The 21,407-nt window shown below is 52.9% G+C and overlaps 5 annotated features.

Annotated features, from left to right (window-relative positions):
• Positions 8,724-8,803: an enhancer, noted in NCBI's record as "active region_14219". NCBI's record gives its function as "activates an Ori minimal core promoter by ATAC-STARR-seq in GM12878 lymphoblastoid cells {active_cell/tissue: GM12878}" and the evidence as "EXISTENCE:reporter gene assay evidence [ECO:0000049][PMID:35858748]".
• Positions 9,234-9,453: an enhancer, noted in NCBI's record as "active region_14218". NCBI's record gives its function as "activates an Ori minimal core promoter by ATAC-STARR-seq in GM12878 lymphoblastoid cells {active_cell/tissue: GM12878}" and the evidence as "EXISTENCE:reporter gene assay evidence [ECO:0000049][PMID:35858748]".
• Positions 10,319-10,653: an enhancer, noted in NCBI's record as "KLF2-I DHS fragment used in reporter constructs". NCBI's record gives its function as "activates the minP and KLF2 promoters by reporter assays in K562 erythroleukemia and HEK293 embryonic kidney cells {active_cell/tissue: K562 | HEK293}" and the evidence as "EXISTENCE:reporter gene assay evidence [ECO:0000049][PMID:23985037]".
• Positions 16,066-16,565: an enhancer, noted in NCBI's record as "H3K4me1 hESC enhancer chr19:16363385-16363884 (GRCh37/hg19 assembly coordinates)". NCBI's record gives its function as "activates a minimal SCP1, AML or CMV promoter by ChIP-STARR-seq in naive and primed H9 embryonic stem cells {active_cell/tissue: H9 hESC(naive and primed)}" and the evidence as "EXISTENCE:reporter gene assay evidence [ECO:0000049][PMID:30033119]".
• Positions 16,566-17,067: an enhancer, noted in NCBI's record as "H3K4me1 hESC enhancer chr19:16362883-16363384 (GRCh37/hg19 assembly coordinates)". NCBI's record gives its function as "activates a minimal SCP1, AML or CMV promoter by ChIP-STARR-seq in naive H9 embryonic stem cells {active_cell/tissue: H9 hESC(naive)}" and the evidence as "EXISTENCE:reporter gene assay evidence [ECO:0000049][PMID:30033119]".

Genomic DNA, 21,407 nt, shown 5'->3' with positions numbered 1-21,407 from the left:
GCGAGGTTGATATTTTTAGTCCCATTGCTCAGGCGGATAAACTAAGGCTCACTTCTTGAAGGAGCTCCAGAGAGTCAATGGCTAAGCTGGGCTCCGATCCTGGCTTTTGGAGGAGGGTCCTCTCCCAGTCCTGCCTACATGGGCAGCTCACGAGGAAGCCAGGTGGGTAGGGGGATGCAGGCAAGGCGGACGAGGGAGCCGGGGAAGCCAGGCGCCAGGCAGACGGGCTGGTGGGTGGGCGGAGGAAGTGGCTTAGCAGGTAGACAGGTAGCAAAGGCGCAGAAACCCCAGTGTGGGCGGGTGGGGGGCCCAGCTCCTGTTGCCACATCTGAGGGGCAGCCCCTGGCACCTTTCCTGCTGGGAGAAGCGGAGGAGCAGCTGGGTGGTTGCGGCTCCCAGCAGGAGCTCACCTGGTCATGGCTTAGGTGACAAGGAGCTCAGTACCTACCTCCTTCAGCCGCTGCCCAAAATGCCTTCTATCCAGAGGTTCAGAGCTGCCTCCTGGGTTTCCCGGTGCTAAAGTGAAAAAGGCCTTCTTGATCTTCTTTTGTCTGTTTTGTTTTTTAACAGTTTTGTTGAGATATAATGCATCGACCACACAATTCACTCATTTAAAGTGTCCAGCTCAGCCGGGCGTGGTGGCTCATGCCTGTAATCCCAGCACTTTGGGAGGTTGAGGCGGGAGGATCCCTTGAGGCCAGGAGTTCAAGACCAGCCTGGGCAACACAGTGAGACCCCATCTCTATAAAAAAAAAAAAAAAAAAGCAAGCAAGCAAGCAAGCAAGAAAATTAGCCAGACATGGTGGTGCACCCCTGTAGTCCCAGCTACTCAGGAGGCTGAGGTGGGAGGATTGCTTGAGCCTGGAAGGTTGAGACTGCGGTGAACTGAGATTGCACCACTGCACTACAGCCTGGGTGACAAAGTGAGACCCTGTCTCAAAATAATAATAATAATAATAATAACAAAGATTCCAATTCAATGGGTTTTAGGGTATTCACAGAGTTCTGCAACCATCACCACTCCATTTGGGAACATTTTATTTTATTATTTATTTATTTATTTATTTTTGGCATGGTGTCTCTCTCTGTCGCCCAGGCTGGAGTGCATTGGTGCAATCTTGGCCCACTGCAGCCTCTGCCTCCCAGGTTCAAGCAATCCTCCTGCCTCAGCCTCCCAAGTAGCTGGGATTACAGGCATGTGCCACCATGTCCAGCTAATTTTTGTAATTTTAGTAGAGACATGGTTTAGCCATGTTGGCCAGGCTGGTCTCGAACTCCTGGCCTCAAGTGATCCACCTGCCTCGGCCTCCCAAAGTGCTGGGATTACAGGTGTGAGCCACCGTGCCCGGCCTGTTTGAGAACATTTTAATCACCTCAAAAGGAAACCCCTTCCCCTTTAGCTATCAACCTCCATCCTGTTCCCATCCCAGCCCCCAGCCTTAAGCAACTACTAATCAGCTTTCTGGCTCTACGCATTCCCTGGCATTGCCAGGCCCTCCTCCTCCCATCCAACCTGCTTGTGGCTTCTCCCCAGCGTCCCCTCCTGAATGGTGTCACTGAATCCTCACACCATCCCCATTTCACAGATGAGAAAACTGAAGCTGGGAGTAGAACCAGGATTCAAACTTCACCCTGGCTCTTAACCTCCCCACTCCCCAGCTTAAACCCTGCCAAATCCCTATTGCTCTTCAGATAAGCCCCAGCTCATTAATTAACCTGACTTTGCCAGAAGCTCTTTTTTTTTTTTTTTTTTTTTTACTTTTTTGAGACAGGGTCTGGCTCTGTCACCCAGGCTGGAGTGCAGTGGTGTGATCCTGGCTCACTGTAACCTCCACCTCTCAAGGTCAAGTGCAAACAATTCTCCCACCTCAGCCTCCCAAGTAGCTGAGACTATAGGCACGCACCCTGCCTGGCTAATTTTTTTTTTTTCTTTGTAGAGATGGGGTTTCGCCATGTTGGCCAGGCTGGTCTTGAACTTCTGGACTCAAGCGATCCTCCCACCTCAGCCTCCCAAAGTGCTGGGATTATAGGCATGAGCCCCTGCCCCCAGCCTGTCACAAGGTTCTTATCTCCAAACCTCTGCCCATGCAGGTTCTTCCACCTGCAATGCCTACCCCATCTTCTGCAACTAACCCTCCCTCGCTCCCTTCCAGCATCCCTTCCTCCAGGAAGTCTTCCCAGAAGCCCCTCGACCCAGCCCTGCTTCCCCCCTCCCCAATGCCCTGACCCCTGGGCTGCAAGACCGGGATACATCAAATGGAGAATCTCTGAAAACAAGGCCCGTAAACAAGTTGTCGGGCGCCTTGAAGGCCCTTATCAGCAGGGATCGCGATGAGGGGGCCTGATAAACAAGCTGCTTTGTGCCAAGCACCCTGCGATGACATGGCTGGCTCTTCTGAGAAGTGCACGGAGGGGCCCCGAAACCACCGCGTCCCGCCACTGATAGCAGATAACAGCACCCTAAGTTGTGGTTTTTTAAGACACCAAACTGGTGGCACCAGGTCAGGAGAGCAGGGTGAGAACAAAACAGTATCAGGACCCGGCTGCGGTCAGGGGCAGAGGACAGTGCGTGTGTGCTTGGGGGAAGGAAATTGGGGACCCCAAAGCTGCTCAGAGGGATGTGGGGGCCCCCAGGGCTGGACAATAGACCTGGTGGGTTGTTATGATGCGCCGCGGGGCTTTTTCTGTCCATTTCACAGATAGGGAAACTGAGGCCTCGTTGGTCCCTGTGCCCCTCCCTAGGTCTGGCCTGGGCGAGTGGGTGTCCGTTGCCAGATGGATCCTAAACACCCTTTATTTCATAGACGGGGGCTGGGGGTATTGAAGTGAGCCCCTGTCAGGCCTGGAGTTACTGGGGAGCTTGCAGAAAGCTCAGGTTTCCCTGTCCAGGTTGGTGGCCTCTTTGTATCACAGTCAAGTCACCATGAAGCAACAGCACGTCGTGGGCAGCACGGTCTTTGTGGCTGGCAGGAGGTGGCCAGGGACTCAGTCCCTGGGGCGGCCAACTCAGTTCTGCCTTACAGGAGACAGAGCCTCCACGCAGTTCCCAAATGCATCCATGCTGTTCCATGCAGTTTCACACTGTTCCATCTTCCACAGGAAGGTCTGCAAAGACCTGAATTCCTTGCACCCTGGGGTCTCCATTTGAAGGCCTGAAGCACCAAAGGTAGGGCTGACTCTGTGGTATGTCCCTCTTCTTTCAATAAATATTTTTAGAGCAGTGGTGGAGAACGGAGCCCTGTCCCAGGTTTGAAATAAAACCCAAACCTGGCCGGGCACAGTGGCTCACACCTGTAATCCCAGCACTTTGGGAGGACGAGGTGGGCGGATGACTTGAGGCTGGGAGTTCGAGACTAGCCTGGCCAACATGGTGAAGCCTTATCTTTACTAAAAATACAAAAATTAGCCAGGCATGGTGGCTCGCACCTGTAATCCCAGCTATTCAGGAGGCTGAGGCAGGAGAATTGCTTGAACCCGGGAGGTGGAGGTTACAGTGAGCTGAGATTGCACCACTGCACTCCAGCCTGGGTGACAGAGCCAGACTCCATCTCAGAGACAGACAAACAACAAAACAAGACAAAACACAAACCTCTCACTGAGGCCCTCAAGGCTCTGTGGTCTGGCCCCGGCCACCCTGTGACCCCATCTCCTCCTGCACACCAGCCTCCCCAACACACCAGCCTCCCCACAGTTCCATGATCACACCAGGCATGGTCCTGCCTCAGGGTCTTGGCACTGTCTGTTCCCTCTGCTGCAAATGCTGTTCCCTTCAGCCACTCCTTTATCTCCTGCTGGTCTCAGCTTAAATGTCACCTCCTCAGAGAGAACCTCCTTGACCTTCTCGGCTAAAATGACCCTCCGGGTCCCACCTACCATGTCATGACCTATTTTTCTCCATCACAAAGATTTCACTCAATGTTATTTTGCCCACTTCATGGCTGTCCAAAACAGGCGAATCCAAAGACAGAAAGCAGATTTGTGGTTGTCAGGGTTCTGGGGAGGGGGATAAGTGACTGCTTCTCAGTCACTTCTGAGGTGGCCAACTCAGTTGGAGACGGGGTTTCCCTTTGAGGGGATAAAATGTTCTGAAATTAGGTATAGGTGATGGTTGTACAACCTCATGAGTGTGCCCCAAACCCACTGAATCATATACTTTAAAGCAAATGGTGAATTTTGTGTTGTGTGAATTTTATTTCAATTTTTTAAAAAGTTGGCCGGGCGTGGTGGCTCATGCCTGTAATCCCAGCACTTTGGGAGGCCAAAGATAGTGCATTGCCTGAGGTGAGGAGTTCGAGACCAGCCTGGCCAACATGGTGAAACCCCATCTCTACTAAAAATAAGAAAATTATCTGGGCGTGGTGGCAGGCGCCTGTAATCCCAGCTACTCAGGAGGCTAAGACAGGAGAATCACCTAAACCTGGGAGGCAGAGGCTGCCCTGAGCCGAGATCACACCATTGCACTCCAGCCTGGGTAAGGAGAGTGAAATTCCGTCTCAAAATAAATAAATAAATAAAATAAAAATTTAAAAATTCAACCCAGGTGCAGTGGCTCACGTCTGTATTCCCAACACTTTGGGAAGCCGAGGCAGGAGGATCGCTTGAGCCCAGGAGTTCAAGACCAGCCTGGGCAACAGTGTGACCCCGTCTCTACAAAAAATGTAAAAGTTAGCTGGGTGTGGTGGTGCATGCCTGTAGTCCCAGCTAGCTACTCGGGAGGCTGAGGTGGGAGGATCACTGGAGCACAGGAGGTCAAGTCTGTACTGAGCCATGATGAACCTGCTGCACTCCAGCCTGGGTGACAGAGTAAAATCCTGTCTGAAAAAAATCAAAATAAAATGGTGAATTTATGTTGTGTGAATTTTATCTCAATTTTTTTTTAAAAGTCAGAGCTAGCAGCCAGGCACGGTGGCTCACACCTGTAATCCCAGCACTTTGGGAGTCTGAGGCAGGCAGATCACTTGAGGCCAGGAGTTCAAGACCAGCCTGGCCAATGTGGTGAAATCCCATCCCTACTAAAAATATAAAAATTAGCCGGGCGAAGTGGGGGGGCACCTATAATGCCAGCTACTTGGAAGGCTGAGGCAGGAGAGTCTCTTGAGCCTGGGAGGCGGAGGTTGCAGTGAGCCGAGATCATGCCACTGCACTCCAGTCTGGCGACAGAGCAAGACTCCGTCTTAAAAAAAAAAAAAAAAAGTCAGATCTAGCTGCTGGGATCATTCCTGCTTCAGGGCAGGGGGTTTGGGGGTCTACATGAGCCGTTCCTGCTCCCTGTTCCTCTAGCCCAGCAACCAGGATTTGGGGCCTCCGGTGCGCAGAGCAAGTCCTAAGCGCTGTGGGTGCTGGAAGCCGGCTTGGCAAACGGGAGCGGGGGTCAGGGAGGCCTATGTCCAGCAGCCGTGCCCAGGTGGCAGCAACTCAGGCCAGAGTGGGTTAAAGGGGAAGTGGATCTTTTCATGGTCCCCAGGTTTCTGGATTTGCATCGACCACTTTTACATAAAAATCTTTCCAGGCTGTGCCCAGCGGGCCCTGAAGCCGGCCGTGGGGTCGGGGGCTGGGTGGGCAGCTTCTGCGGGAGGTTTCTGCAACACAGGGTGCCCCTCGCTGGTTCCTGTTTTGGGGGAATGTTATCACCATTGGCTTCTTAGAAAGAGCTGGAGGTGGGGGAGAGAACCCAGCACCTTCAGAGCCTCACTGGTCACTTTTATCCTCTCTTTGCCTGGTGGGGGAGGAAGACAGAGCCCCATCCAGGGATCAGCAAGGGGACACCCCTGGGGGAAATGACAGTGGCTGGGTATCTCCGGTGTGCCTGGCCTTTTTTTTTTTTTTTTTTTTTTTTGAGACAGTCTCGCTCTGTCACTCAGGCTGGGGTGCAGTGGCGCAATCTCAGCTCACTGCAAACTCTGCCTCCCGGGTTCAAGCGATCTTCCTGCCTCAGCCTCCTGAGTAGCTGGAATTACAGGCACCTTTCACCACGCCTAGCTAATTTCTGTATTTTTAGTAGAGATAGGGTTTCACCATGTTGGTCAGGCTGGTCTCAAACTCCTGAGCTCAAGTGATCTTCCTGCCCCGTCCTCCCAAAGTGCTGGGATTACAGGCGTGAGCCACTGCGCCATGCCAGGTGTGCCTGGCTTTCTATGTGCTGTGGGTTATCTTTGGGGACCCCTGGCGAGAAGTGTCACCCCCCAGACCTGTTGTTTAGCTGAGAAGAACTGGGGCTTGTAGGAGGGATGGCCCAAGCTGAGCTGGAGTTTGGTCCCGAGCCAAGCTGATAACACTCCCTGCTAAAGATAAGGTGGGCCTGACCCCGTGTATTCAGCCAGCAAATATTTACTGAGCGCCTTTCGGTGCCAGGCTCCAGGCTGGGGAGTCAGAAGTAGGATGGATGGAGAAGCAGGGAGAAAGCCAGCTGGGTCCTGCCCTCCCACGGGTAGCGGTGGGGATGGACGAGCAAAAGGCAGAAAACCAAGGTGACTCTGGAGAGACCACAGTTGAAGACAAGACCACAGTGGGGGTGATACTGAGGGGCCTGAAGTGTCTGGAACAGGCAAATCTGTAGAGACAGAAGGTGGCTTAGTGATGGCCAGGAGCTGGGGGACACAGTGTAACTGGGTGTGACTGGTGAAAGGGTATGAGGTCGCCTTTAGGGGTCAGAGAAGAGAAAGATTCCCTATGGGGAGGTTTAGGGGAAGGAGACCCCAGGTCAAGGTGCAGCCCGGATAAAGGCTCGAGGTAAGGCCAGGAGCTGTGGCAAGGGTGCCTGGGTGGTGATCTGCCCAGATGGTGTCCCCGAACCCCCTGCCCTGCGTGTGGCACGAGTCCCTTCTCATCAGTGCCTTTTTACTTCTTCCATTTCCCCCAATGCGGCTGAATTTGCATTACTGAGTTATTTCTTTTTAGAACTCCTACCTTCTCCCCTTCCCCCAGAGTTTTTCCTGGTGCAAGCTGAGGGTGCCACCCCCACCCCCACGGCATTCGAAGATCAGAGAGTTTCCTCCTTGGGGCCGGGCTTCTCAGAAAAGCCACCTCTGCAGTGCTCGGGTTATGAAATGCCCCCTCCACTGCCCAGGCACTCTTGGCTGGAATCGCAGTGAAATCCGTGGTAAAGAGTCGCTGGGCTGCCTGCAGAGGGGTCGAAGATGAGACTCACCCTCCCAGGCCCCCGTTTGACAGGTGAGGACACTGAGGCCAGTGAGCTCAGAGTGAGACTCAAACTTGGGAGATCTGGCTGATTCTTGGGCACAGAGGTTGTGACCACTCTCCAAGTGGGTGCAGCTGGGAGAAAGTGGCCCTTGGGCGAGCTGGGCCAGGCTCACATTGCCCCTCCACCTCCTACTTGTAGCCAAGCAGCCTGGATTCACCGGGCCTCAGTATTCCCCTCTGGCAGATGGGCTGAGCAACCCTTTACCACTCAATCATAAATGCCCTTGCTCATGGCTTCAACCGCCCTTCCACATGTCCATTCCACTTAATCATCAGCCTCCACTTAAACTTCTCGGCTTGGCACCTGTCTCGGGGTAACATCCATGCACCCTGCTGTGGCTTTTGAGGGTCTGCATGGCTGGTCCCTGCCCCCACCCAGCCACACGGGCCTCTGCCAGGTCCCTCAAACACCAAGGCTGCCTCAGGACACCAGGCCTTAGCCGCGCCGTGCCTCTTGCCTGCAGTGCCCTTCCCGAATCCATCCATGCCCTCAAACCTCACCTAGTTATTATCTACTTAGCTTTCATTCTCAGTCCGAGACATCAAACTGCTTTCTTTCCTTTTCTTCTTTTAAAATATTTTATTCAAGGAAAACATACAGACATTAAAGTACCCAAATCCTAGGTACACAGTTCTGTAACTTCTCATAAAGGGACTATGCCCAGGTAACCAGCAGCCAGCTCAAGAAACAGGACACTCCGGCTGGGCTTGGTGGCTCATGCCTGTAATCCTAGCATTTTGGGAGGTCGAGGCAGGAGGATTGCTTGAGGCCAGGGGGAGTTCAAGTCCAGCCTGGGTACATAGCAAGATCCCATCTCTACCAAAAAAGAAAAGAGAGAGAAAAAGAAACAAGACATCCCCATCCCCACCACCTTCATCAAAGCTCCCTTGTGGGGCTCAATATTTGGAATTGACGAATGGTTACGTGAACGGGCCCATTGCCTATGACATAGGTGTCCAGCAAGCCGCTGAGCCCATGGGTTGCATTACTGGAGGTATAGACTCCAGAATGGGGAAGGTGATTTCCCTCTCCATTCTGGGCTGGTCAATGCTGTCAGGCAGGGGGCCCTGCCACTTCAAAATGGGGATAGATGGATAGTGGCAGGTTTGGGGAAGACCACCATGGTGTGTGTGTGTGTATGTGTATACACACTTCTAAGTGGTGTCCTGGGAGAAGGCCCTGGAGGCTTTAGGGCATTTAACCTAGAGAAGGACTGACTTAGGTCTCTGTCAGCAGTCCCAGGTGGCTGGATGGCAGAGCAGGGCAGGGTGGGGACTGAGCCACTCTGAAGGAGGCACCCACTTTCACTAAGCCACACACTAGGCTGCCCCGGCTGGCAGTGAGCATGTCGTCAGGAAAGAGATGCCAGTCCAGTGCCTCCCTGGCAGCAAACTGAGCCAAGTGGTTGTGTGGCATGAACTAGAAGACATCTTGACCCCCAGTCCCCACCAGATCTTAAAGAAAGGTGGGCAGGGATGAGGACTTCAGGGACACCTGAAGGGGCCCATTGCCTGTGACATAGCTGCCCAGCAAGCTGCTAGGCCCATGGGTTATATTATTAGAGGTATAGGCTCCAGAATGAGGGAGGTGATTTCCCTTTCCATTCTGGGATGGTCAGAATGGTCAGGCAGGAGCCTCTGCCACTGCTGAGACTTTTCTGTGGCCAGTGGGGAGACTGAGATCCAGAGAAGGACAGTGACCTGCCCAGAGTCATTGGGCCAAAACTGGCTTTCCAGGCACGGGCCAGGCCTCGAGCTCTGGTTTTGGGTGGAGTTCAGGCCAGGTTATATGTGGTGTGGCTGTTCCCTTTTGCCAGCTGCAGCTGCCTGGGGTGGGGGCCGGCCGGGCACGCTTCATCACCTGCCCTGGCAGGCAGTCGCAGGTGCTGGGCCGGCCACTTTACATAGCCACGCTTGGGTTCCTCTGCCCGCGCTGCCGTCCTGCCCCCTTGCCTCTCCCCAGGAAAGGCCGAGGCTCTGAGGTCAGGAGCCGGCTGCGGGCCCCAGTGAGTTCTTGAGTATTTTTATTTCACTTCTTCGTTTCACTTTTACTGGTCCTGGGAGAAATATGCATGTTATTCAGGACCAGAGCAGTCATCACTGGGCCCAAGATGGCACTGTTCTGTGCCAACAAGGGGTCGTGGAGCAGGCAGACCCGGGTTCAAATCCTAACCCCACTGCTTGTTGGCTGGCCACATCACCCCTGGAGCATCTCCTGAGAGGTGCACGGGGTGGAGATTCTGATAGGGCGTGGCCTCTGGGCTGCTGTGTGGCTTCAGGCAACTTCCTGCCCCTCTCTGGGCCTCAACCCCTCTTCTGTAAAATGGGAATAACTACAGCCCATTCTTATAATGTGGCTCAAATTCAGCAGTTATGCGGTGTCACGCTGGGTGCCTGTCCACTGAACTTTTTGGGTGGAGGAGCTGGACCCACCGTATGTTCTTGAACTTGAGAAGCTTGGGCTTGCGTATGGATCCCTGTTGTGTGTGTGTGTGTGTGTGTGTGTATGTGTGTGTGTGTGTGTGTGTGTGTGTTTAGACGGAGTCTTGCTCTTATTGCCCAGGCTGGAGTGCAGTGGTGCAATCTCAGCTCACTGCAACCTCTGCTGCCTAGGTTCAAGCGATTCTCCAGCCTCAGCCTCCGGAGTAGCTGGGATTACAGGCACCAGCCACCATGCCCGGCTAATCTTTGTAATTTTAGTAGAGATGGGGTTTCAACATCCTGGCAAGGCTAGTCTCGAATGCCTGACCTCATGATCCACCCGCCTCAGCCTCCCAAAGTGCTGGGATTACAGGTGTGAGCCACTGTGCCCGGCCAAGGCAGGTTTTAAGATGCAGATTCCTGGGCCCTGCTTTGCATTGGGAGAAAGTGGGTTGGCCCTCAGATGTCGGCCCAGAAACTTCAGAAAAGGCTCCAGGACCTGGAGGTGTGTTTTTCCCTGGGACAGGATCAAAGGAGGGATGTGGGGAGGGGGAAACTGAGGCACAGGGCGGTGAAGCCACTTGCCCAGCAAGTGAGAGTGTCTGCACCAGGACTGAATAGGGGCTAGCTCGATTCAGAGCCAGCACCCTCTGGCCTGCAGTGATGCCCGGACGGAGTCCACCCCTGTCACTCTGTCCCGCTCAGCTCCTGAGCTCCTCCCGGGCCCCGTGTTCCAGCAGCCTCAGGGCTGCCGCAGAACATGAAGCCTGAGGCTTCCCCGGGGAACAGCTTGGAGCCGAGTTGGGGTTTATATAGTGGCTCCCAAAATATCTGGCCGCTGATAGGCTGAGCCGGGTGCAGGCGCGGCTGACCCATGCCGCGCTTCCTGTCCTGCCAAGATGTTTCCTGCCGATAGCCGGGCCCAGCGGCCTTATCTGTGACCTCAGGGACACCCAGGGGACAGGGTGTCCTGGCCTGGGCAGGGGCTGTGGGGAACCAGGAGGGGGTCAGGGCACAGGTGGTGGGTTCTCCATACACACAAGTTTTGGAAGGAGCACTGGACTTGCAGTCTGGCTGCCCAAGAGTTGAAAATTGGCTCTGGGTCTAAACAGCTGTCCCCCAGGGAAGCTGAGCCCCTCTAGAAATCTCAGTCTCTTATCTATCAACGGGGGGTACTGGGGTCTCCATTTCATTTATTTTTTATTTTTATTTTTATTTCGAGATGGAGTTTTGCTCTTCTTGCCCAGGCTGGAGTGCAATGTTGCGATCTCGGCTCACCGCAACCTCTGCCTCCCGGGTTCAAGCGATTCTTCTGTCTCAGCCTCCCGAGTAGCTGGGATTACAGGCATGTGCCATCACACCTGGTTAATTTTGTATTTTTAGTAGAGACGGGGTTTCACGATGATGGCCAGGCTGGTCTCGAACTCCTGACCTCAGGTGATCCACCCACCTCGGCCTCCCAAACTGCTAGGATTATAGGCGTGAGCCACTGCACCCAGCCTGGCATCTCCATTTTTATAAAACACTCGCCATCCCCTTGTGTCCCCTAGCCCAGTCCTCAAGGAGCCCCCAGTCTCAGGGAGACAGAGCTGGACACAGATGGCCACAGCCTGCAGGATCAGGGCTCGGTTGGAAGGCGGGTGGGGATGAGAGAATTTGGAGCATCTGTCTGCGGCAGCTGCCTGGAGGAGGGACATCACAGTTGGGGTTTAATGATATGTAGGAGCTCTCCAGGCAAATGACACGGAAGGGATGACCACGCTGAGGGAACAGCATGTGTGAATGCTTGGAGTCAGAGTGTCACTATCCCCATTTCACAGAGAAGGAACCTGAGATTCCAAGAGAAACTGATTCTGTGGCTCTGAAACCTGGCTCTTTCCTCTGCACCTGCTGACCAAGATCTCAGCTTCCGGAAGAGGACACGATAAGGACTAAGGGCTTCAGATGTACCCCACAATCTGAACAATTATATTTTTATTTCAAAATAATGTTATTACAACCCAAATAGTGAAATTAACAGTATATAATAAATTACACGCATCTACATCTGTATACATATACATATACACCCACATCTTAAGTTATAGGAAAGAGTTTATTTTGGCAGATAGTGTGAAACAAAATTAAAGTAGCATGAAAGAGTAACATAACTCAACTTCCTTTTTTTTTTTTTTTTGAGATGGAGTCTTGCTCTTGTTGCCCAGGCTGGAGTGCAGTGGCGTGATCTCAGCTCACTGCAACCTCTGCCTCTCAGGTTCAAGCTATTCTTCTGCCTCAGCCTCCCAAGTAGCTGGGACCACAGGCATCTGCCACCATGCCTGGCTAATTTTTGTATTTTTAGTAGATACGGGGTTTCACCATGTCGGCCAGGCTGGTCTCGAACTCCTGACCTCAGGTGATCCACCCGCCTCAGCCTCCCAAAGTGCTGGGATTACAGATGTGAGCCACCACGCCTGGCCTCAACATCCTTAATGTGGTATAAGTGTGACACATTTCTTGTCACTATGTTCTGCGAAATCATCATACCCACACTTCTTTATCTAACGGATACGCTGAAATTTAATATTACACTATTCACTTACATTGTGATTCTCTCTCTCTCTTTTTAAAAAAACAGGGTCGGTCTCACTCTGTCGCCCAGGCTGGAGTGCAGAGGTGCTACCATAGCTCACTGCAGTTTCCAACTCCCAGCTCAAGCGATCCTCCCACCTCAACCCCCCTAGTAGCTGGGACTACAGGCATGCACCACTATGTCTGGTTAATTAACTTATTTATTTATTTTTTTAAGAGATGGGGGTCTCACTATGTTGCCCAGGCTGTTCTCAAACTCCTACTCAAGCGATACTCCTGCCTCAGCCTCCCGAAGTGCTGAGATTACAGGTGTGATGTCACTGCACCCAGCCCCTGTGCTCTGATACTAAAAGGGTTTTTCAGCCGGGTGCAGTGGCTTCCTGCCTGTAATGCCAGCACTTTCAGAGGCTGAGGCAGGAGGATCACTGGAAGACAGGAGTTTGAGACCAGCCTGGCCTGGACAACAAAGTGAGAACCCATCTCTACAAAAAGTAAAAAATTAGCAGGGCGTGGTGGTGGGTGCCTGTAATCCCAGCTACTCAGGAGGCTGAGGCAGAGAATTGCTTGAACCTGGGAGGCTGAGGTTGCAGTGAGCCAAGATGGAGCCATTGCACTCCAGCCTGGGCGACAGAGCGAGGCTCCGTCTCAAAAAAAAAAAAGGCAGGGGAGAGGGTTCACCTTTTTCTCTCATCAGCCCAACTTCAGGGACCAGAAGGATACTTGGGAGCCAGTGTCTGGTGCTGGGAGCCTGGCAGCAGCCACACAGAGAGGGGAAGCTAAAGGCCACTCCCAAGGTTCCAGGTGGGTCTGAAACTGGGTCTCCTGCCCCTGCCTGCCCCGTGGCTTCAGGGAGGTCCTTGTGTCCTCCAGCTCAGTCCTGCTTTGGGACTCAGGCCTGTGACCCGAAGCAGCCTGGCTTTGAGACGTTCTGAGGTTGTCCTCTCCTTCCCTCCCATCAGAGGGGCTACAGTTTCCCGGGATGGTTCACCCTTGAGGATGCAGTGTCTGCCCACGCACTGGTCCCCCACTCCCTGGCTTGGGTTTGGGGCTTTTGAGCCGCAACATAGGGAGGGGCTGAGGGGCGAGGGGTGAGGGAAAACTGTTGGTTTGGGTCTCCCTCTCTTTCTCTCTCTTTTTTTGATAGATTCTTGCTCTGTCACCCAGGCTGGAGTGCAGTGGCGCGATATTGCCTCACTGCAATCTCCACCTCCCAGGTTCAAGTGATTCTCCTGTCTCAGCCTCCCGAGTAGCTGGGATTACAGGTGCCCAACACCACGACCGGCTAATTTTTGTATTTTTAGTAGAGATGGGGTTTTGTGAGGCTGGTCTCGAACTCCTGACCTCAAGTGATCTGCCCACCTCTGCCTCCCAAAGTGCTGGGATTACAGGTGTGAGCCACCGCAACCAGCCAGTTTGGTTCTCTTTTAATGTTTTTCAAGTCATGAGTATAATGTGGAATTTTTTTTTTTTTTCAGTAAATCAGAACCTCCCTCCAAGGGCCTGAGTTACTTGGATCTCCTGGTCATAGAACACAAAAAGTGTGTTGGAAGAACCAAACAAATCCTTGTACACACATACACACACACACAGACACACACACTCACAGACACACGTACACACACACACAGACACACGTACACACACAGACACATGGACCCACACAGACACACACATTCACAGACACACACACATACACAGACACACAGACACACTCACACAGACACACAACATAGACACACAGACACACACACTCACATAGACACACAGACAGACACACACATACACAGACACATGCACTCACAGCAGCGCTATTCACAATAGCCCCAAAGTGGAAGCAACTCAAGTGCCCATTAACAAGTGAACAGGTCAACACAACATGTTTCATCCACACAATGGAATACAATGCAGCCATGAAAAGGAAGGAAGCACTGCCCCATGCTACAGCGTGATGAGCCCCCAAAAACACGGTGCTGAGTGAGAGAAGCCAGACACAAAAGGACACACGGTGTAGGATTCCACTGATATAAAATGCCCAGAACAGGCAAATCCATAGGGACAGGAAGCAGAGGAGTGGCTGCCAGGGGTTGGGGGAGGGGAATGGGGAATGGCTACTGATGGGGATGAGGTCTCCTTTGGAAGTGGAGGTCATGGTTGGATGACATTGTCAATGTACTGAATGCCACCAAATTGTTCACTTTAAAAATGGTGAACTTTATGTTATATTATGTAGCTCTCCCGGCCTGCTGGGGCCCCTCCTGCACACATCTCCCAAGCCCCCTCATAGAACCCTCCTGTGAGGTAGGAGAATCGCTTGAACCCGGGAGGCAGAGGTTTCAGTGAGCTGAGATTGTGCCATTGCACTCCAGCCTGGGTGACAGAGCAAGACTCCATCTCAAAAAAAAAAAAAAAAAAAAAAAAAGAAGAAGGCCAGGCGCAGTGGCTCATGCCTGTAATCCCAGCACTTCGGGAGGCCGAGGCGGGCAGATCACTTGAGGTTAGGGGTTCGAGACCAGCCTGGCCAACATGGTGAAACCCTGTCTCTACTAAAAATACAAAAATTAGCCAGGTGTGGTAGCACATGCCTATAATCCCAGCTACTAGGGAGGCTGAGACAGAATTGCTTGAACTCAGGAGGTAGAGGTTGCAGTGAGCCGAGATCACACCACTGCACTCCAGCCTGGGTGACAGAGTGAGACTCTCAAAAAAAAAAAAAAAAAAAAAACCCTCCTCCCTCCTTTGAGGTAAAGGCTGGCAAGTGGCTGAGCCTGGGTGGTACTCAGGTCTGGCTGGCTCCAGTGCTTGAGTGCTCAGTGCCCCACACGCCCCTCTTAGTGGCTCTGTTACCCGTGGCCCTGCTCCTCCTGCGCAGTGGCATGGTGGGGGCTGCAATGTGACTGCACGTCTCCACACACACCCACTCACGTGGCTGGCCTCCTGCTGCCCAGGGCCTTCTGGGAACTGTGCAGGTGCAACCTGTTTCTCTTGGAATGGAACAGAGCCAGGGGTGGGATGGGAAATGTGCTCAGCTCAGCGTCAGGGCAGGCGGGGCGGGGGAGGGGCCCTGCAGGAACTGCCGTGGGGATGGGAATGTTCTGGGCTGCAGGGAGGCTCCCAGCCTGCTGTCTTGGGAGCTGGCACGTGCCAGTCCTTGCCCTGTGTCCCTGCCACGTGAAGGTCCTGGCTCCAGCTCACTCCTGACTATTCAGAGCTTGGGGACATTGCCTCTGCTCTCTGACCTCAGTTTTCTTCTGCAAAATGGGCTTTTTTTTTTTGAGACGGTGTCTCGCTCTGTCACCCAGGCTGGAGTGCAGTGGCACGATCTTGGCTCACTGCAACCTCCGCCTTCCGGGTTCAAGCGATGTATGTGTATGTCTGTGTTGTATGCATGGTGTCTGTGTGTCTCTGTGGCTGTTGTATGCTTGTGTCTCTGTGCATGTTGTGTGTCTGTGTGTTGTGTGTGTAGTTTTGTTTTGTGTGTCTGTGTGTGTTGTGTGTGCTTGGTGTGCATCTATGTGTTATATCTGTGTTGCACATGTGTTGTGTGTGTTATATGTGTGTCTGTATGCTGTATGTCTCTCTGTGTTGTGTGTAGTTGTATTTGATGTGTGTGAGTGTTGTATGTGTGCATCTGTGTTATGCGTTTGTCTCTGTGTTGTACGTGTGTGTTGTATGTGTGTCTGTTGTCAGTTTCTGTGTGTCTGTGTGTTGTGTGTCTCTGCGTATGTGTCTGTGTGTGTTGTATGTGTGTCTCTGTGTGTGTCTCTGTGTGTTGCATGTCTCTGTGTGTGTCTGTCTCTATGTTGAGCGTAGTTGTGTTTGATGTGCATATGTTATGTGTGTGTCTCTGTGTTGTATGTGTGTGGTGTGTGGTGTCTCTGTGTCTCTGTCTCTGTGTGTTGTGTGTCTGTGTGTGTGTGCATCCATGTGTTGTGTGTGTGTGTCTGTGTTGTGTGTGTTGTCTGTATACCTCTCTGTATATCGTGTGTCTCTGTGTGCAGGTGTGTGTGCCTGTGTGTGTCGTGCGTGTCCGTGTGCATGCTCTGCCCATGTGCACACACGCGCCAATGTGGCATTTTTGAGGAACTGAATCTTTGGTCAGATGTGTATGCTGCCCAAAGGGTGTGGGGGCCCCTCCACGCCACCCTCACCCCATGACCTCCCCACCCCCACAACCCTGCTGGCCTCAGCCTCTTCCACTCTCTCTGGCTGCACCCAAATCCCACAATTCCCTCCCCACCCGCTCTCCAGTGGGGCCCCACCATCGCTCCCTGCTCCCGCCCTGGCGCCCTGACCTCCCTCCTGCCCGGGTTCCTCCCTCTCCCATCGGCGGCCAGAGGTGGCCTTGACGCCCAGAACCCGCTGTGGCTCCCCCGTGCCCTCCTCACAGCCCCAGCCCCCAGTACAGGGCCCCGTCTCCAGGGACTTGGGGTCTCCATCCTGCTGTGTCCTCGCCTCCCCTCCTGCGCCTGCCCGCCCGACAACCCATGTGCCATGTGGTGACAGTCAAGGTCATCTGTCTCCCATCCCATGACTCCCCGGGACTGGGGTTTTGTCTGTCTGTGTCAGTTGAGTCTCTGTACATACACAGCAGGTGCTCCATAAATACTCAAACGAATGAATGAATGAGGGTCAGGAGTGGGGCTGGAGAGTTCAGGGGACACTCAGACTGGGCAGAGAGCTGCCTGTGGGCCTGGACAAGGGCTGAGCACTGAGAAGGTGCCCAGATGCTTTCAGCAAGCACCATGGGTCTCAGAAGCGTCTCTGGGGTGTTGGACAAAAGGGTGAGCACCAAAGAAAGAGAACTGGTCAGGCATGATGGCTAACGCCTGTAATCCCAGCACTTTGGGAGGCTGAGGCGGGCGGATCACTTGAGGTCAGGAGTTCGAGACCAGCCTGACCAACATGGAGAAACCCCATCTCTACTAAAAATACAAATAAATAAATAAAAATACCTGGGCGTGGTGGTGCACGCCTGTAGTCCCAGCTACTCAGGAGGCTGAGGCAGAAGAATCGCTTGAACCTGGGAGGCGGAGGTTGCAGTGAGCCAAGATCGCTCCACTGCACTCCAGCCTGGGCGACAGAGCAAGACTCCAGCTCAAAAAAAAAAAAAAAAAAAAAAAAAGGCAAAGCAAAGGAAGAGAGCACTGAGGCCTTTCACGACACAGCCCAGCTCTGAATAGTCAGGGATAAGCCAGAGCCAGGACCTTCCTGGGAGATCCAGGAGGGCTGCCTGAAGGAGGGGTCATCAGAGCTGGGCTTTGTAAAATAAGCTGGAGATTGCCAGAAGAGTCTGGGTGGTGAGGGGTCCTCTAATCAGAAGGACACACCCACTAACTTTCTCCAGCCTGAGCCCACAGGAGCTCCAAGAAGAGAGATGGGTCATGGGTCATCTCTCTTTTTCTTTTTTTTTTTTTTAGACGGAGTCTTGCTCTGTCGCCCAGGCTGGAGTGCAGTGGCGCAATCTTGGCTCACTGCAAGCTCCGCCTCCTGGGTTCACGCCATTCTCCTGCCTCAGCCTCCCGAGTAGCTGGGACTACAGGCGCCCACCACCATGCCCAGCTAATTTTTTGTATTTTTAGTAGAGACGAGGTTTCGCACTGTTAGCCAGGATGGTCTTGATCACCTGACCTCGTGATCCGCCCGCCTCGGCCTCCCAAAGTTCTGGGATTACAGGCATGAGCCACTGTGCCCACCCCCTTTTTCTGTTTTTATAATCTCTAAAACAAAACAATTTGGGCAGCACTTTATTATTTATATATTTATTTATTATTTTATTTATTATTTTTATTTTTTTGAGATGGAGTCTCGCTCTGTCACCCAGGCTGGAGTGCAGTGGTCTGATCTCGGCTCACTGCAACCTCTGCCTCCCAGGTTCAAGTGATTCTCTTGCCTCAGCCTCCTGAGTAGCTGGGATTACAGGCACGCACCCCCACACCTGGCTAATTTTTTTTTTTTAAGACTGAGTCTCCCTCTATCGCCCAAGCTGGAGTGCAGTGGCGTGATCTTGGCTCACTGCAACCTCTGCCTCCCAGGTTTGAGCAATTCTCCTGCCTCAGCCTCCTGAGTAGCTGGGATTACAGGCACTCACCACCACGTCTGACTAATTTTTGTATTTTTAGTAGAGACGGGGTTTCACCATGTTGGCCAAGCTGATCTCGAGCTCCTGATCTCAGGTGATCCATGCGCCTTGGCCACCCAAAGTTCTGGGATTACAGGTTTGAGCCACTATGTCCGACCAATTTTTTGTATTTTTAATAGAGATAGGGTTTCACTATGTTGGCCCAGCTGGTCTTGAACTCCTGACCTCAGGTGATCGGCCTGCCTCGGCTCCTAAAGAGCTGGGATTACAGGTGTGAGCCACCGCGCCCAGCCTGGGTAGCACTTTAAGTATACAAAATATCAGTAGCATTCAAAGCATGGATGATGGGGACATAACACAGGTGCAGATACTGCCCTGAGGCTGGGCGGGCTGGGGTCGCTTTGGAAGGGGACTATGGTCAGCCAGGGTCGAGCAGGCTCTGGTGGGAGGGACGGGTTGATGCAGAGGAAAGCGCTCAGAGAAAAGAACTTGCCAGAAATTTCTAGGCACTATATTCCCAGTTTGGCCAGGGGCCTTATAAAACACACACACACACACACACACACACACACACATACACACACACACACACACATACTCACACACACACGGTGAAATTGTGAAATTCCTCAGAAAGTTAAGCCTAACATTACCATATGATCCAGGGAGTCTATTCCTGGGTATATACCGGGAATAATTGAAAGCAGGTGTTTAAACAGACACTTGTGTGTGAAAGTTCATAACATGGCTCATGATGTCTGAAAGGTGGTAACAGCCTTCATTTTTGTTGGCAGATGAACTGATACACAGAATGTGAGTTATCCATGCAGTGGGATATTATGCACCCGTAAAAAGGAATGCAGCGCTGATCCATGCCGTGACAAGGGTGAACCTCAAAAACCTGATGTTGGCCGGGCATGGTGGCTCACACCTGTAATCCCAGCAGTTTGGGAGGCTGAGGCGGGCGGATCAGTTGAGGTCAGGAGTTCAAGACCAGCCTGGCCAATGTGGTGAAACCCCTTCTCTACTAAATATACGAAAAATTAGTCGGGTGTGGTGGCGGGAGCCTGTAATCCCAGCTACCTGGGAGGCTGAGGCAGGAGAATCGCTTGAACCCGGGAGGCAGAGGTTGCAGTGAGCTGAGATCGTGCCACTGCTCTCCAGCCTGGGCGACAGAGCGAGACTCCGTCTCAAAAAACAAACAAACAAACAAATAAATCCCCACAATGCTGAGTGAGAGAAGCCAGACACAAAAGGCCACGTAGTGTGAGATTCCATTGATATGAAATGCCTAGAACAGGCAAATCCATAGAGACATAAGGTAGATTGGTGTTACCTGGGGCTGGGGAAGAGGAATGAGGAGTGATTGCTGATGGGGACGGGGTTTCCTTTTGGGGTGATGGAAATGTTCTGGAATCAGACAGAGGTTGCACGACATTGCAAATGTCCTAAATGCCACTGAATTGTTCACTTTCAAATGGTTAACTGTAGCCGGGCACGGTGGCTCACACCTGTAAGCCCAGCACTTTGGGAGGCCGAGGCGGGAGGATCGCTTGAACCCAAGAGTTCAAGACCAGCCCTGGCAACCTAGTGACACCCTGTCTCTACCCAAAACTACAAAAATTAGCCAGGCATGGTGGCATGCGCCTGTTGTCCCAGCTACTCAGAGGTGGGAGGATCGCTTGAGCCCAGGAGGCCGAGGCTGCAGTGAGCTGTGATCGCACCACTGCACTCCAGCCTGGGTGACACAGTGAGACCCTGTCTCAAATAAAAAATAAAATAAAATAAAATGGTTAACCATGTGTTATGTGAATTTCACCTCAATTTCAATAAACAACAGCGCACTGGCCATATCAGGGTCTTTGTGTCATGTAAAAGAACCTCAGTGCTTAGAAAGAGCATCTGAGCAGTTCTTAATTGGTTGACAAGTGATCTTTTTCTTCTTTTAGAGACTCTTCTAACAAAATGGCATGAAGAGGCCCCCAGTGGACAGAGAAACAGGCCCAGAGAGGGCAAGGAGCCTGTTCAAGGTCACACAGCACGGGGAGCCAGGTTTGTGGGGCACAGCTTTGAACACGGGGCTTCCCTACCCACTCCAGGGGCAGGCCACTGGGCGTTTCCTCTTGTGGGGGGTAGTCTGAGTTTGTAGCCCCTGGATGAAGCTGGGTGGGCTCAGACTCAGTTCTCCATCTATTGAATAGGGAACTGGTGGGAAGTGGGTGAGGGGCACCCGCCTGCTGTCGTCCACACTGAGTCCCCAAGCCCCAGCACAGATGGCAGCTGGGGAGGATTCGTTGGGCAGCAATGGTGTGGCAGGACCTGCCGGGTTCTGGTGTACAGAGTCCAGCTCCAGCCTGTCTCTGAGCCTCAGTTTCCCCATGTGTGCAATGGGAGCTGCTGAACCCAGGCAGGGATTGGGCTGCCTGTGTGAGCTGAGGCTCCTCATGGACAGCAGGGTCAGTCTGAGCCTGGCTGCCCTGACTTGGTCCTCCCAGCCAGGCCAGGGACCCCAGCGTCCCCACCCACCCTCCATCTGTAGCTTCCCTGTCAATGTCCTGTGAGGAGGGGGAAGGAGTGTTTGACATTTCTGTGGCTTTTTTTTTTTGAGATAGAGTCTCACTCTGTTGCCCAGGCTGGAGTGCAGTGGCATGGTCTCGGCTCACTGTAACCTCTGCCTCCTGGGTTCAAGCGATTCTCCTGTCTCAGCTTCCTGAGTAGCTGGGATTACAGGCACCCACCACCATGCCCAGCTTTTTTTTTTTTTTTTTTTTTGACATTTTTAGTAAAGACAGGGTTTCACCATGTTGGCCAGGCTGGTCTTGAACTCCTGACCTCAAGTGATAAAGTGCTGGGATTACAGGCATGAGCCACCGCGCCCGTCCCCTGTGGCCTTTCTGAGCCTCAGTTTCCTCATCTTCACCATCAGGCTGCAGGGAGGACCCTCAGGAAGGATAGCAGTGGTGTTGGGGTCGCTGTGTTCAGAGAGGGCTGGAGTCTCCCTCTTCCCAGGCCTGTCCCGCACACCTCTCTCTGTGGCCTGGCCGGGTGGGTCTCCAAGCCGTGGTTTCTGACCCGTGGATGCCCCCTGGTGGTCACGGCTGGCAGAGCCTTGCATCCCCAGATCCCAGTCCCAGAG

This window comes from Homo sapiens, chromosome 19, assembly GCF_000001405.40.
Source record: "Homo sapiens chromosome 19, GRCh38.p14 Primary Assembly".
Classification (NCBI taxonomy): domain Eukaryota; kingdom Metazoa; phylum Chordata; class Mammalia; order Primates; family Hominidae; genus Homo; species Homo sapiens.
The sequence above is the reverse complement of the archived record's forward strand: the minus strand, read 5'-3'. Positions and strand labels throughout refer to the sequence as shown.